Source organism: Homo sapiens, chromosome 4 (genome assembly GCF_000001405.40).
Source record: "Homo sapiens chromosome 4, GRCh38.p14 Primary Assembly".
Taxonomy (NCBI): domain Eukaryota; kingdom Metazoa; phylum Chordata; class Mammalia; order Primates; family Hominidae; genus Homo; species Homo sapiens.
Window position 1 is genome coordinate 73,607,261 of NC_000004.12, and position 15,968 is coordinate 73,623,228.

At 38.1% G+C, this 15,968-nt stretch overlaps 1 protein-coding gene across 13 annotated transcripts in view, besides 2 other annotated features; it reads right to left on the reverse strand.

Annotated features, from left to right (window-relative positions):
- The window catches only part of RASSF6 (Ras association domain family member 6), a 49,082-nt gene extending 35,711 nt beyond the window's left edge, over positions 1–13,371 (reverse strand). For 4 of the 13 annotated variants that reach the window (XM_011531689.4, NM_201431.2, XM_011531687.3 and 1 more), the window contains 2 exon segments: positions 13,179–13,371; positions 4,471–4,569 (listed from right to left, as the gene is read on the reverse strand). In XM_011531689.4, coding sequence (XP_011529991.1) covers positions 4,471–4,569; positions 13,179–13,240 — 161 coding nt within the window. In that variant the 5' untranslated portion in view covers positions 13,241–13,371. 13 annotated transcript variants of the gene reach the window in all.
- Positions 12,650–13,199: an enhancer, noted in NCBI's record as "NANOG-H3K4me1 hESC enhancer chr4:74485627-74486176 (GRCh37/hg19 assembly coordinates)". NCBI's record gives its function as "activates a minimal SCP1, AML or CMV promoter by ChIP-STARR-seq in naive H9 embryonic stem cells {active_cell/tissue: H9 hESC(naive)}" and the evidence as "EXISTENCE:reporter gene assay evidence [ECO:0000049][PMID:30033119]".
- Positions 13,200–13,748: an enhancer, noted in NCBI's record as "NANOG-H3K4me1 hESC enhancer chr4:74486177-74486725 (GRCh37/hg19 assembly coordinates)". NCBI's record gives its function as "activates a minimal SCP1, AML or CMV promoter by ChIP-STARR-seq in naive H9 embryonic stem cells {active_cell/tissue: H9 hESC(naive)}" and the evidence as "EXISTENCE:reporter gene assay evidence [ECO:0000049][PMID:30033119]".

Genomic DNA, 15,968 nt, shown 5'->3' on the forward strand with positions numbered 1-15,968 from the left:
TAAGTCCTGTTTGGTCTCTCTCCTGCCTTCCTCTTCAGCCTCCTTTCAAGAGACATTTTCCCTGTGTCCTGCACCCCAGCACCCTGGGCACCTTTCACTTGTTGGAACTCTTTGCTCCATGGCTGTAAGGATTTCTGGCAGATTTCCTGTGTCAGAAACACTCTTCCACCCACTGTCCTGAACTTTGATAGCTCCTTCTTAGTCAGATCTCTGTACAAACATTGTTTCTAGGGAAGCCTTCTTGGAACTCTTGTTTAAACTAGGGCTTTGTTCTTTCATAGAACTGGGTTCCTTCCCTCAGAATACATGTCAGTTTGTTTCAGGCCTTTAGATCTATGTGGATCTCAAAGTGTGATCCCCAGACCAGCAGCATCTGTACCACCTGGGAACTTAGACATGCAAATATTCAAAACACCCTAGAACTCCTGAATCAGAAACTCTGGGGATGGAGCCTAGCAATCTTTCTTTTAAAGAACCCTCCAGGTGGTTCTGCTAAAGGCTCAGGTTTGAGCTACAGCTTCAGATTGCAAGCTCCACAAGAGTAGGACAGCTACCTCCTCTCCTCTCCTCTCCTCTCCCCTCCCTACCCCTCCTCTCTACTCTTCTTCCTCTGCTCTCCTCTCCTCCAACCCCTCCCCTCCCCTCCTCTCTACTCTTCTTCCTCTCCCCTTCTCTCCTCTCCTCTCCTCTCCTCCATCCCCTCCCCTCCCCTCCTCTCTACTCTTCTTCCTCTCCCCTTCTCTCCTCTCCTCTCCTCTCCTCCATCCCCTCCCCTCCCCTCCCCTCTCCTCTCCCCCTTCCTCTCCCCTCTTCCTCCTCCTCCTTGCTTATGGTATGCTCTCAAAAGTTATTTGTGTAGGGAATACAGCATAGAAAATTCACGCATCCAGAAATTGAAATAAATTCCATACATGTGATATATTTCTGGAGTCTGAACTTCTGGAGTCTCATAGAAAATCATTGGATTTTCTCTGAGAACATTTTTAGATTATCTTGGGCAGACAAATGATCTCATCGTTTTTAAACCTCCTTAATTGATAAAACAGGTAACTGCAAAGTAGATAAATTTTACTAGGAATAACAGATTATTAAGTCATATTGATATGCTCAATGACTGTTGACAATATATGCTTATTGAAAAATATCAGATATAAAAAAACCTAATAAATGTCCTTCTTTCACATATCTCATGATGACGTTATTGACCCTTTTGTGACAAAATAACAGATGTGATACCCAGTTTCTCATAATAATTTCTTTTCATTTCACTGGGTCATCAAACATGGATAATGTGAATTTTTAAAAACAATCCCCATGTGGACAAAAATTCTAATTTTTAAAGTAGATGCTCCTAAATATGCGATTAAAATCCTCTGTCTCTGGCTTATTTTGAAATTCTAACTTTTTATACAAATAAGTCAGAACAGGCTCTCTTATACTTTAATTAAAGACAGGTATTCAGCGTTCTTCAGGAGAATGATGCCCTCCTCTTAGAAACTTACCTTCAGGACTCACAGGGGCATGCAGTGTTTGCTCCTATTCCTTTGATCAGGAGAAGACCCTGTATATGAAACCTGGGCAAACATTGCCTTCTGGCTGTACTGGCCAGGTAGAAGGCAGCCTCTGGAACACTGGCTCTTTGTGCTTAATTTGTGCTTAGAAGTGCAGGTGGCTGGTTCCTTTGTTTCAACAAAGGTTGCTGGCCAACATGCTTGGAAAAAGAAACTGTTTGGAATAATGCACTTTCTGCTAAAATTTATTACATCATGTTAATTAAACTTACTAAGGACAGGATTGTACACGTGCCTTTTGAGCTGCCCTTAGAAGAGGCATAGACTGCAAAGTTTTTATTAGGTTACTAAGTAGCAGAAAAAGTCTGATAGGTTCTGAGAGTGAAATCTGGTTGGTATTCTAAAACTGGATTTAAACTTCTCCATTAATTTTTTTTTAAATACATGGTTAGCATTTATTCACCTCTAAAGTGCCCAGATTTCAGCCTATGACCTAAAGTGAAAATACTTTGAAAGTAACCATAAAAAACATTTATTTTTATTTTTTTCCACCCAGCTCACTGTGTGAAGCAGTGTGCAATGATGACTCCAGGCAATAAAACAGCAACTGGAAGCTTAGTCATTTCAGTACAAAGCTAACCTGTGCCAATACCCTTTGAACAGGGAAGTTTCTAAACTCAGAGAATTCTCATCCAGTAGTGGGATATAAACGTTATGTTTCCTACTATGCTATTATTAATATCAGGACCTCTTATTTTACTGATCATATGCAATCCTCATGAAATTTGCTGAAACCAAAATTTTGATTATGAAGATTCTGCTTAACTATTAATTTCCATTCTTTTCATGTAGTTCTGTGCAGGAAAATAAAAATACCTCAATAAATTGCTAATTTTTGTCTTGTTTACCACAACAATGCCTAGTAAAGAGAGGGAGCTAAAAAACTACTTGCCAAGTGAATAAATGAGTAGGGGTGTTTGCCAGATTTGTGGTATGCTGGATATCATAGTTGGTCAGTGGCATTGTTATAATTTCTGGTGACAGCCTGGCAGAGATTTCCCCTAGCTCCAGGAATTTTGTTTATGTTAGGAGGTCAGAAGTTCTCAGAACTTTAATCCTTTCCTATGGTGAGAATTTGTTCTCAGTACTTCAGTATGCATCAGAATCACATGATTAGTTCTGGGGTGAAGCCAAGGGTCTATACTGTGAACAGGCATCTGAGTCAGAAGCAGGTGGTCCATGGACCTCATTTTTAAGAAATGCTTCTTATTCAATCTCAAATGTAATGTGTCCAGAACTGAATTCCGGATCCTCAACTGCAAACCTGCTCCTCCTGTAGCTCCTGCTTCTCCTCATGATTTCAGAAAATGTTAACTCCATTTTTCTAGATCAAAATTTTTAGAATTATCCTTGGTTATTCTCTTTCTCTCACACCCATGTCTAACCCTTCTGGAAATCCTATTGTGTTGGTCTTCAAACTATATCCAGAATCTGACCATTGTTTTCTACCTCTACTGCTGCCACCTTGGTTCAAGCAACCTTCATCTCCACCCTGGACTGTCAGCTCCTTGGTAACTTCTCTGTTTCCACTCTTGTCCCCTCTCTACTCTGTTCTTAACACAGCAGCTAGACTGATATTGCCACTCATGTGCTCAATATCCTTCCACAGCTTCTCATCTTATTTAGTGGGAAAGATCAAGCCTCATAATGGCCTATCAAACCCTACATGTTCTGAGCCCATTTGGCTTCTTCTCCTGCTGTCTTTCTACTTCCATTTCCCCACACTGTTCTCCCTGACCCTTACAAATATGCATCTGCCTTAGGGCTGTGGAGTTGCCATTCCCCTTGCCTGGAATACCTGCGAAAGCTGCATGGCTTGCTTTCTCCCTTTCTGCAGGCTTTTCCTCCAGTGCTTCCCGCTCACTGAGGAAGGAACTAGGTTATATGCAATCAGAACCCTTTCCGCTCTCTATCTCTAGCACTCTTTACTCCATTTCCTCAGCATTTATCTTATGTATTGACTGCATCCCGACTTTATGATGTAACTCCATGAGAGTAAGGGTTTTGTTTGGTTCATTACTGAATGCTCAGGGTCCAAAAATACACCTGCTCACAGTGAGTAATCAGTAAGTGTTTGAGGAATAAGTCAGTGGATCCTTTATCCTTTGCATCAGGTCTTTTTCCCACTGCTTATAGTTCATCCTTATCTTTCAGCTGTGGCTTTATTTCCATATTTGATCATATTTGTTTCCTTCACTTTCCTACTGCCCAACCCTGCATCATTCACTTCTCCTTCTCTCTGTCATTTATTTGGCTTTTTTCCTTTTTCCACCCCCCATAAGATTTGGGTCATGTTTCAGTACCACTTATTTTTTCATGATTTCATCTCCTCTCAGCCCCCAGCCTCTGCTGTAGCTTGGCCAGTTTCAGTTTTCATCTCTACTCTTATAGCTTTTAAGCCCTTACTCTATTGTTCCCAAAGCAATATGAGATACTGTTTGCTGCGTACAAGAAAAGCTGTGGATGTTGGCCATATATTGCATAATCTAATGTCAAGAGGGAACCAGTAAAAATAAAGTGTCATGAGGAGCAAGGGATGGAGAGGTTAGGACAGGACATAATGTTTTTGGCCCTGGGGTTAATTCTTTAGAACTATCATTTATGAGAAGCCTTAGATCTTTCACCTAATGCTGCTCTTCAATATTATCCCAACTATTAAAACAGAAATGTTGCTTTTAATAAAGTAAAACCACTGTTAAACAAAATATTAGTGATTGTTCCATGAGAGTAAATTTGAGAGTCTTTAGGAACATACTTTTCCAACTTCTTATCTAGTATCTCTACTGATGATTCATATTATTGATCTTGTTGACCATACATCATGCTTAGAAAACTTTGACGGTATATTCCACAAATGACTGGTGAGTAGGACAATGTATAATATAAGGTGTGTGGTTACCTGGTTATGAATGTCTTCTCATTAATGAAGATCCAAGAGGGGTACTGGTGAGCCATCATAGTCATCTTTTCCTCCTTTTTGAGATGGTCTGAGGATATCCTAAACATGAGAATAATATTAATGATTTGTTCCTATAATGCATTAAAAAATTAGTTTCTGATTTAAGTTGAGTGTTTTGTTGTGTCTCTAGAGTATAAGAAGGTTTTAGAAAGTTTTTAAGTAGTATGTCATGTGTGAGCAAAAATACAGAAAAATGTATTATGTAAATGAAAAACTACAGAAACAGTAACTCCAGACACGGATGGATTGAACAATTTGGTAAGTCTGTTTTAGATATATTTCTAGCAAAATAAATATGACTCTATTGATTTATATAATTCTGTATAAGGGAGCATATTCCTTCTATTGCAATAACTCACCCAAACTGGCTGAACCTTGCCCCAATCAGCAGAAGACAACTGCAATTCTAGGCAGCTAAAATCAAGCTCTGACTTGAAGAGTTGATTAGGTATGATGTAATATTTTTCAAGTCTCCTTCAAGCTCTGGAAACTGTGGTCAGATGTGAATAATCTCCTCCTTTATATGTTCATATAAATGGCATTAGGGTGTGACCAGAGATGTAAAGTATAATATTTTCTGTTCATTCCATTTTGCAAAAATTGAATATTCAGTTATCATGGCTCCAAGTCTATAAGATTTTAGGGGATAGAGCCAGAATAAAAAAGATGGATGAGAGAGTTCAGTTTTCTTTTTTTTTTTTTTTTAAAAAAAAAAACGTTGTGTATAAGGGGGTGGATTTCCTCCTTTTCCTTTCAAATCTGGTTATTTGGGTTGGGTAAGATGAATAAAAATTAGGAAATTATATGTCCTAACTCTTCAGAGTACCAGGAAAAAAAGAAAACAGGAAAGCTATTCTTCTATTCTCATAAAATCTCTGATGCATATTTTTCTTTATAGCATGTTGTTAAACTCACTAGGTACTTTGTTACAGTTTTCAGGGTGAATGCTTGGCTGGAGTCTCATTTTAGGCTTTTATCATTCCGATCATCCCATCACCTATTTGGTCACAAACCATCTTGGTATCTTTCTTAATAAATACAGCCCAAGTCCCTTAACCTGACTCTCAAGTTTTCTTCAATTCCACTCAAACCTACCTTTCCAGGCTCCAAATTGAAACATTTCTTCAACACCAGGCCTTGTAATCTAATGAAATTTCATGTCATTGAGTCTTTTCTCACCCATTTCCCCTGGCAGCAGAGGGCCCTCCTCACTGCAGGTCCAGATATCTGGTCCCTTTTAGTCCCCAGTGGGAAATCTTAAAGTCTCCCCATGTCCTTTGAATCCACACTGTTGTCATCATTCTGCTTTCTACCTTGTATTGTCATTATTGATTTATACCTTACTTTCTTTTCTATTGCTATCTTCTTGCTCAAAGAATTGTGCTTCTCTAGTTGGAAATGGCATCCTCTGATAGCACATCATTGGCAGGTCTCATGCAGGACACCTGGAGGACTCATACCAGAGACACAGAAGCTTAGTCACCAGGCAAAGTAATTCTATACGTCAGAAGCCACATGGGCATTTTATGCTGCCTTGGGCACACAGACACAACATGCTCCATGAGCCCAGTGAATCCCAGTTACTTATTCACAGGATTTGGTCTGGGCAACTTGGTTATACAGGTTACACAGGTTCCTCCAGCTTCTCAAACTTGAGTTTTGCCCCTGGATTTTGTCATTCTAATAACCCACCAAAAGGGTTATTAATGTCCCCGACTGAAATCCCCCAGTGATGACCCTGGGGTCCAAACACTTCCTTCTTCCTCCTGGGTCCAGATTATTTATCATATATTCCTTTAATTTAGCCCTACCTCCACCTCTCCATCCATGTTCCAAGAGCCTATACCTTGCCAAAGAGTTCACTTCTCTCCTCATTTCTCGGCCTCTTAGCAACATTTGACAAGATTGATTTTCCTACCTTTTAAAACACTTTCTTCTTGATGCTTTTGAGACAAACCATGAATAACAATCACCTCACTCTATTTTCCTGCTATCTCACAGGCCTCAACACTAGTCTCCTTTGCTGATTCCTCCTTTGTATGATCACTAAATACTGGCTTGTTTGAGTGTCCATTCTCAGCCATCCTTTCTTCTCTATCTATACATTCTTCCAGGTAATCGAATCTGTCTCCATCCCATAATCTCTGTTGAGCTCCAGACGCATGTCACCACCTACCTAATCTCTACTTAGATGTGTACCAGGCATCTCGATATCTACATGGCTGAAAAAGAACCACTGACTTTCTCCCATGCTCTAAAATTTCCTCCTCCACAATTCTTTCCCATCTAGGCATCAAAACTAATATTTAGTCTCATTTTTTCCCTCTTTCATCATAAGCCAAATTCAATCCAAAAGTAAGTCCTATTCACTGTACCACTAACATATTCCAAATTCGAAAGCTTTGATTTCCACTGCTACTACCCTAAGCCAAGCCACCATCATCTTTTTCCTGGATTATTGCGTCAGCCTACTAGAGGGCCTCCCTCTGTTGTGGTCTGAATGTTTGTGTCCCCACAAAACCTAGATGTTGAAACTTAACCCCCAATGCAATAGTATTAACAGGTGAGGACTTTAGGAGGTGATTAGTTCATGATGGTGGAGACTTCATGAATGTGGTTAGTGCCCTTATAAAAGAGACCCCAGAAGCTGCCTGGACCCTTCCACCATGTCAGAGCATAGCAAAAAGACCATCTAAGAACCAGACAGCTTGCTTCCCTCACCAGACACTGGGGATATTTGGAACTGAAGAACCACTGATAGCAGCTTCTTATAATTACAAAGTGAAAATTGGCAGTGATGGACTGAAAAATCATTGCAGTAGCTTTCCAACTGGCTCACTCTTTATTTGCATTCATAAGAAATATCAAAGATATCATTAAAGAGGGCAAATAATTGCAATGTAGTTATAGTGACACACTGTTGATCTATGCTGAGGTAACTCATAGCCAGCTTCAGAAGACTTCAGAAGATGTGATGAAAGGGTTTCCAAGGCTCTTATATTATTTTCTGACTTTAGGAAGGAAGAAAGTTGAATATAATTTAATGTAAGAAAATAAAAACAGGATAAAATTTTCATTCATAGGCAGCACATAATATTTGAGTAGGAAATAATATTATTCATGTCTGATCTAAAAATTGGGTAAATAAAATATTCAAACAGTTTAAATACCTGAAAGGTAAGAACATGCTTTGGTAAAAGTCCCATTGTTAGTATTAACAGTGAAGTGAAATACAAAAGTTAGCCGGGTGTGGTGGAACACACTTTTAATCCCAGCTACCTGGGAGGCTGAGGCCCGAGAATCACTTAAACCTGGGAGATGGAGGTTGCAGTGAGCCAAGATTGTGTCCCTGCACTCCAGCCTGGGTGATAGAGTGTGACTCTGTCTCAAAAAAAAAAAAAAAAAAAGAGCAAAACAAATAAACAAACAAAAACAATGAAGTGAGGCATAGATCTATGAATTCAAATAGTTTTTCATCCTCATCTTCCCATTCCCATTCACCATGATTCATAGCAAACTAAAACCTGCTAGGGCCCTTGTGAAAATCTCCTAAATTATAAAGACTTGGTAGATATAAGCATCTGAGCAAATTTTCTCAAGGACTTAAGAGGAGAATAACAGAGAAGTCATGAATAGCAACGAGGGAGAGAATTTATGAAGAAAGAAAAAATTACAGTTCTAGAAGCCTGGAGGTCTTACTTGGGATGTTCAGTAATTTTGGTAGAACATAATAAACTACAACTTGAGGAGGAAGATGGTTGTTACAAATCTATGTAGGCCCTGGGGCCAGAGATTATTGACTTAGATTGTGTGTAAAATAAGATCATTATTTAATAAGTTTGGTTATTTACTTTTTCATTTTGTCCAGAAACAATGAAGCTGGAGAAACAGGGAATTAGATAGGTCAGCAATTAAGTCCTGGAGAAATCAACAGCACTAGAAGTATAGGAGAGGTAGAATTGGTCTGAACAAGCCAATGAGATCTGGATGGAGCCTGAGGAGGCAGTGTTGGGCAGCATTAGCGTTCCAGCAATGCTGGAACGTGGTTCACCTCCCCCTGCTCTGCATTCCTGCCTAGAGGTGGGCTTGCCTGGACTTACCAGTTGCCTTGTGACCAGAATGAGGCCAGAGGACAGGAAGTGAATTCTAGTACAAATTAAATCAAATGGGTCAGTCATTTAAAGTAACTTCCTGTTATCCAACCATGAGTTAATTAAATGGTTACATATCTAAAAGTGGAAAATTGGGTTCACTCGTTTGTAAATTCAACAAATATTTCACGAGTTCCTTCTCTGCACCTGCTACCGTGCTAGGCACAGAAAGTATAGCCTGTATCTATATCTATAGCCTCTTATTTCTGAGGCCACAAGGTGCACAAAGTGTCATAATGCTAATGATTTTACAAAGAACTAATATATATACATATATCTATATCTATCTATCTATCTATCTATCTATCTATCTATCTATCTATCTATACATATATATACAGGTGCTAACTTCCCTGTATTTCCCAGCCAAAGACAATTTCTCTTGCTTCTGAAATTTCACAGGAAATTTTCTGTAGCTTTCTAATTACTTACTGCTTTCTCTCTCTAACCATATTTTATTTTACTTAATTTGATTACTAGGTCCTTTAGGACAGAATTATTGCTATTTCATTTTTGTGTCTTCTAAAGTGAGTGAATATATGCAGGCATATAGATAAAACATACACAAAATATTGAATACATCCAACATACAGAGAGGTATATTATAATATTAATGGTAAAATTAAGAGCTAAGAGATTATGTGTGATAATTATTTCTTTTTTTATTTTGTATGTACTGTCTAAATCATAGACAAGGAATATATGTTACATCTCTCTCACCCACGTCCCCAGTAAAAGCTACTTAAAAAAAGAACAGAAAGTATCACACTAGAATAGCAAGTGTGTATTTCAATTATGAGATAAGAGTATGTTAAGGGCTGTACACACGGAGAGTCTTTTTAATAAAATATTGTTTCAGCTTGAAGAAGCAATAGAAAGTTACAATTATGTATTCATCTCCAAAACGAAACTGTTTTCTCAAAGTTATGACCTGGAACCTTGGAGTAGAGAAGAGCAGAGTTATATGCAATTACATCACTTCAAGAAAATGAGACAAAGCATCTATAATTCCATCCAGTATCTAGTTCTCTCAAAAAAGGAAAAGAGTTAACAGAGTGATGGTTTCTGGGAAACATTTGGCTCCATACTTTTTCTTAAAATGTGCTTTATTTGCAGAGACAGTAAAGGTCAAGAGTTGGCATATATACAAACTATCACTTAATTAAGTAATATTGGTTGCAGTCAGTGATTGTTGGTTTTGAGATAGAAATAATGTATTATAATCATTGAATCTAAGAGAGGACTAAGCAGAATATGAATCAAACACACTTCTATGTGAGCATGCCACTGCCCTCAGTTCAAGTGGAATCTAATTGGAAATGCCAAAACTTTACTGTTCTATTGCATATTTACATGGTACTAATGCCATGCATTTTATTCTGCTCAAGGTGCCCTCAGGGAGATAAAGAAAGCAGAAACGGTCAGAGAAGCAAATTTGTATTAAGGCACTTAAGGCATCTTGCCACCACTGGGTCTGGGAGGCGCTGCTCAGTCTGCCGACAGCATCTTCTGGAATTACTGGTGTGGTGGAACTCAAAAATTTTCTGCTTCACCTGAGCTTCCCAGTAGAAATTCTTAGGCTGACGTCACAAAGATCACGACTCATTTTTCCTGTTTGTATATTTGCTGCAAAAGAATCGACACTCTCTCCTCTTAAGCTCCTTTACTAGGCTCTAGGTGATGATGAAGTTTTCCTTTAAGTTAACATCCTTATTACTTAAATAGGAGACACTTCATGTTCTACTCCTGAAAGCAGTGGTATTAGTTAAGTTTGGTTGTTGAGATTATGTTATGAAAGTGATGAAATCACTATAATTTATCATTTTAAACATACAAATTAATTTTTGCAACAGAATAACTCTCTAACTGTAATGTGAAAGGAAAATATTCAGAATTCCTTTCTCAGAGGTTTTGTTTTCAAATGGCCTATACTTGAATATTTTAAAAATCTAAGCTTTTATATGAAGCCCATGTAACTCTAGTAACCGTGAATTCCCCACCTACATTGCAATCAATGAATCTATATAAGCAAATGGACTGTCAGCATTGGGTTTCTATCTCAGTTAAAAGTAAAGGATCCTTCTTATTTTAGGAAATTAAAACAAGAATCAGGTATAGAACTTTTAATTACATGCTTAAAAGACTTGTTACATACATGTTACACTATTTTGAATATAACTGGAAAAGTTAATTTTTTCGTAATCATTGCTGGGTCTCTCTGTGTCACTCTTTTCTCTCTTTCTCTCTCTCTCTGATTGACCACAACATTTAATAGTTTATAATAAAATGTTATACACGTGAGAAATAGTAGAATAAATGTAAATTCAACACAATATTCTAATGTATAGATATAAAGTTGTTATCTATCTATCTATCTATCTAAACAGATTTTAACTAGAAAGACTTCCACCCAGTTACGGTTAAGTAGATTAATCTCAAATCAATTTCAAATATGGTTAAATAAATTTATCTCAATTGGGGCTACTATTCTTTATTTAGACATATGTCTATCAATAAATATAAAGGCAAATAACTTTGTTTAAGGATGTATAACAATATGGAAATTCAGCATAAAAGCATATTTCCTCTTTGAAAAATCTTTAATGAATATTGGAACCCTAACTTATTCTAATTCAATTTGATTCCTTTATAAGTTTTTAGCTAAACTGTACTAAACACAATCAGACCCCAGAGGGAAATAACATAGTAAACTTCAGTTAGGTTGGGTTTAGAATTCTATCCACAATTCTCCAGTCAATATCTAATTGTAAGCACACTGAAGAATTTCAACTCTGCAATTTGAAAAAAGAATCCATTAAAACACCAATGATATTAAGTTAGAGTATACTGCAAACTCTTTGACTGCTTTATTTAATAAAATAACAAGATAAAAATGAAGTCAATGGAAATTACTAGTCATAGACACTAAGTTGGTCCCCTCAAGAAAATTAGCAACATTAATAACTAACAACATTGACAAAAGTGCCCTTTAAGTGAAACTTCATAAAATAAAGCCACTTTCCTGTAATTTAAGCTTAAGAGGTAGAGACTGACAAAATACAAGTATTATTCCTTCATGTCTCTTGTCCATCAACACAAATTAAAAACAGCACTTCAATACAAACAATTCAATATGTGCTGAAATATAAAGACATGGATTATATGGTCTAAATTGATGAAAGTTATTCAAAAGCAGTCTCCTTTATAAAACCCAAATGGCATGAATTCCACAATATGAGATTGTGTGTAACTCTCTTACTCTAAAATTCTATTTTCTTTTTAGGAATAACAGATTAATGTAAATGTGAATTTTTCAAAAGAAAACTGATTGAGTAGCAAATATGTCTGAATTTGCCACCACATACTCTATCTGAAAAATGGAAAGAAGCCAGGTCATTTCGTTGCTACCCAGAGAGATGATCCTAGCACACCTGTCACCTGCTTGCCTGTCCTGGATCCAGTCTCCGGGAACCAGTTCAATTCCAGCATCCTAATACACACTGTCTGGTCTCCCTAGTTCAGCTTGCCCTCCCTGATAACGGCCCCTTTGGCAGAGCAGCTTATTCTTAATGCTAACAGTAGGTATCACTTACAGAACACTTGCTGACTGTTCAGTTCCCATCAAAGAAAGCCTTATGTGGCAGATCCTTTGATGATGCTTGTTTTACAGACAAACGTTTGGGGCTTAGGTTAAGAAACTTGAGAGGGGGCAAACTAATAAGTGGCAAAGCCGAGCTTTGAACCTACCACTCTTCTGCTTCAGAATTCATATCCTTAACTCATGCACTCCCATTTAATTATTTATGTTTATTATTTCATTGTTTGGTGAGCGCTTATATTGAAAATTCATTTTTTTTTTGGTGGGGGGCATGCTTTCTGTCACTTTGCAGAAACAAATAAAAGTTGAGCTGAACCCTCAATTAAGTTCTTTCCAGTGCGATGATTCAACACAATATTCTAACCATAAGGATACTCAGAGGAAGGAGTATGCCATCCAGAAGTCTAGTATCTTTGTAAGGCACGATTTTTGCCAGGCACAATTACAGGTGAAGGGCTCATTGAACTAAAGGGAGGAGGGGTCCTATGGTCACATTTACCTCCAAGCCCTTCTCTGCACCCTTTCCCTCCCTTCTTTCCCCTCTCTCCCTCCCACCCTACAAGCTTACCTTGGTTAGGAAAGCATATTCTGAGAAAATCAAAAGGAAAAGGCATGTGTGCGATTCAGGCTGCTATGACACACACACACTTAACTTTGTTGCCTATGGATTCTGCTTTCTAATAACTTGCCCTCAACATGACCCCAGGGAGTGGATTAGAAAGTTTTTTTCCCCATCCCCATTTTTTACCTGTTATTCACACTGTGAGCAGGAGGACCCTTTTCACCATCGTTGTTCGGCTGAACTTGCTTCGCGGTTTGTTCTCGGCTGGGTCAGGAACTCTGGTAGAGGGAAACCAGTGCCCTGTCTCTGCCGGGCTGGGACTCCGCGAGTCACTCACCTGTAGGGGAGGTCCGAGGCCCGCGCGGGCGCAGGGGCGGCGCCTGTCTCCTCCCAGAGCATGGCTCAGCTGGGCGCTTGCAGTGCCCCCGACGCGATCAGCGATCCTGGAGCCCCAGGAGCTGTTAATTATTTCTCCTTTTCGCCACAGCAGGGAAGTGTCAAGAAACCTGAGCCACTCCCTGTGCCTCAGTGCATGTTGGGAGTGTTTACTTTCTTAGGAACAGCTGATAGGTACACTCCTTTGCTCTCTGCCACACTTCTTGAGAAATGAATGGACATTCTAGTTAACGCTTTAACCACGGGATTTGACTGATGTTAATCTCTATTCTCTAGTCCACCCAGACTGTAGGTAATTGGCCTGTGAGAAATGACACCAACCAAGACTGAACGCCATTATTCACGTCTTTCTTTTTAAGATTTTTCTTTTCCAATTTGAGATTTGTTAACTTTCTTTTCCTTGTTATTTTGCTAACACATTTCCCTGCTAGCACTTTTTTTCACCCAGAGCAGCGTTTCGCGCTTCAGGGTGCACCAGGACCACCTATGTATTCTGCTAAACCCAGGTACCATCAACTGTGAGACTCTGATTTAGTAGGCCATGCATACACTTCGGGTATTTATATTTTTTATAAGCTCCACAGAAGAAACTGGTAGACATCAAAGTTTGAAAATGAACATAATGAAACAAAACAGAGGAGATAAATAATAATTTAGTCATTATCTACTGAATTGGATTTGGGGGCTTTGTTTTATCCAATATCTCCAATTTCAAAAGGACACCAAAAAGGCTTAGAAACTGTTAAATGACAGATGCTGTGGAAATATGAAGTACATTTACACACACACACACACACACACACACACAGATTTTTAAGGATCATTGTTATTTTACTGGTTTCCTATGTAAAGCAACTATTCATAATTTTTAAACATAATAGGTTATTTTACAAGTGTAAACCTGAGAGCCCTCAAAAGAAATTCAATCTGATTCCTGCAAAAAGTTCAGCAGGCAGAGTTAATTTCTAGTATCTTTCGTGTTCAAACGCCAGACAAACAGAATGACTCTAGATGTTCAGGTTGCATGTTTGTCATAGCACTTTAAGTAAGATCCTATATGTTCAAAAGGTGAGGCAGGCCAGGTGCAGTGACTCACGCCTGTAATCTCAGCACTTTGGGAGACCAAGGCTGGTGGATCACTTGAGCCCAGGAGTTCAAGACCAGCCTGGACAACATGGCAAAACCCTGTCTCTGCAAAAAAAAAAAAAAAAATTAGCCCGGCATTGTGGGGCATGCCTATAGTCCCAGCTACTCGGGAGGCTGAGGTGGGAGGATCACTTGAGCCTGGGAAGTCGAGGCTGCAGAGAGCCAAGATTGCACCACTGCACTCCAGCCTGATTCAAAAAAAAAAAAGAAAAAATATTAGGCAGTTTATCTATTTAATCTGTGGTGTGCGGAGACCAGGAACTATCAGATTTATCATTATTTGAGCAAATGGTTTTATTGGATCACAATCAAAGATTTTACAATCTTATGTAAGGACAGATGTGACTTAGTATTACTTGCAGATATTAATTCGATCATCATGTTGGCTCCATAACTCTCTGGTATGTGGCTGCTGGTATGGACTGACCTTTGAATGATGACTAGCAGGACCTAGAGTAGTTACAGCTCTCGGTTCCAGGATATCTTGCTCAAATCCATGCTCCACCTCCATTGTCTGTGCTTGAAGTGGGTCATTTGCTTATTGTCAGCATCAGGGCAACATTCTTTTGCATCTTTTACCTGCAAGCATTGGATTTGGGGGCTTTGTTTTTTGCCAATATCTCCAATTTCAAAAGGACTCCAAAAAGGCTTAGAAACTGTTAAATGGCAGATGCTGTGGAAACTTTTACTCTGATGACTGCTTTCCAACTGGTTTTCTAAAGAAAAGTAAAGTTAGAGGCTTAGTGACTTCGTTTTTTAGTGTTTTATCTGTTTGTAAATATGTAATTTTTATTTGATAATATAAAAAGTATATAATTGCACATATGCAATGTGGAAAATCTGAAAAACACAGAAATGTAGAGGACAAAAAGCACCTATAATTCCATCTCTCAAGTATAATCATCATAAACAATTTGTTGAATGTCTTTATTGACTTATTTTCCCTGTGGCTGTTTATCAAAATGCTATTACATTTGGTTTGTTGGTTTATAGCCTGCTTTCATCACATCAAACGTAGTATGAACAATTTACTATAAATCAGTCACTTTTTTTCCTGCAATGTAATTTTAACTAGCTGCTCTGTATTGCACCAAATGAAAATACCGTTACTTATTTAATTATTATGATAAAGTTATACTGTTATAAACAACACTGCAGTGAATGATTACATATGATTCCACACAAGCATGACTACACCTTTTAGATACATTTCAAAAATTGAAGTTACCAGATGTAAGGCAATGTGCATTTTGAAGAATTTCCCTGCTTAAAAAATCTTTGTCAGTTTTATACTCCCAGGGCAGCTAACATGGGTTATTATACTTCTTTTAAACATTTATTAATTTGAAACATAAAAAAATCCATATCTTATTTTAAATATATATATTATCGTACTTGTAAGTTTGGGCTCTTTAGACTTTGCACTTTTGCTTTATTGTTTATTGGACTCTTTGCTCATCTTTTTTCTTATTGATTTATAAATTCTCTTTATATATTAAACATATCAACTCTTCATCATATATGCTGTGACTATATTTTCAAGGTGACTTGTTTACCTTGCAGTCTTGTCTATGGTATTTTTGAC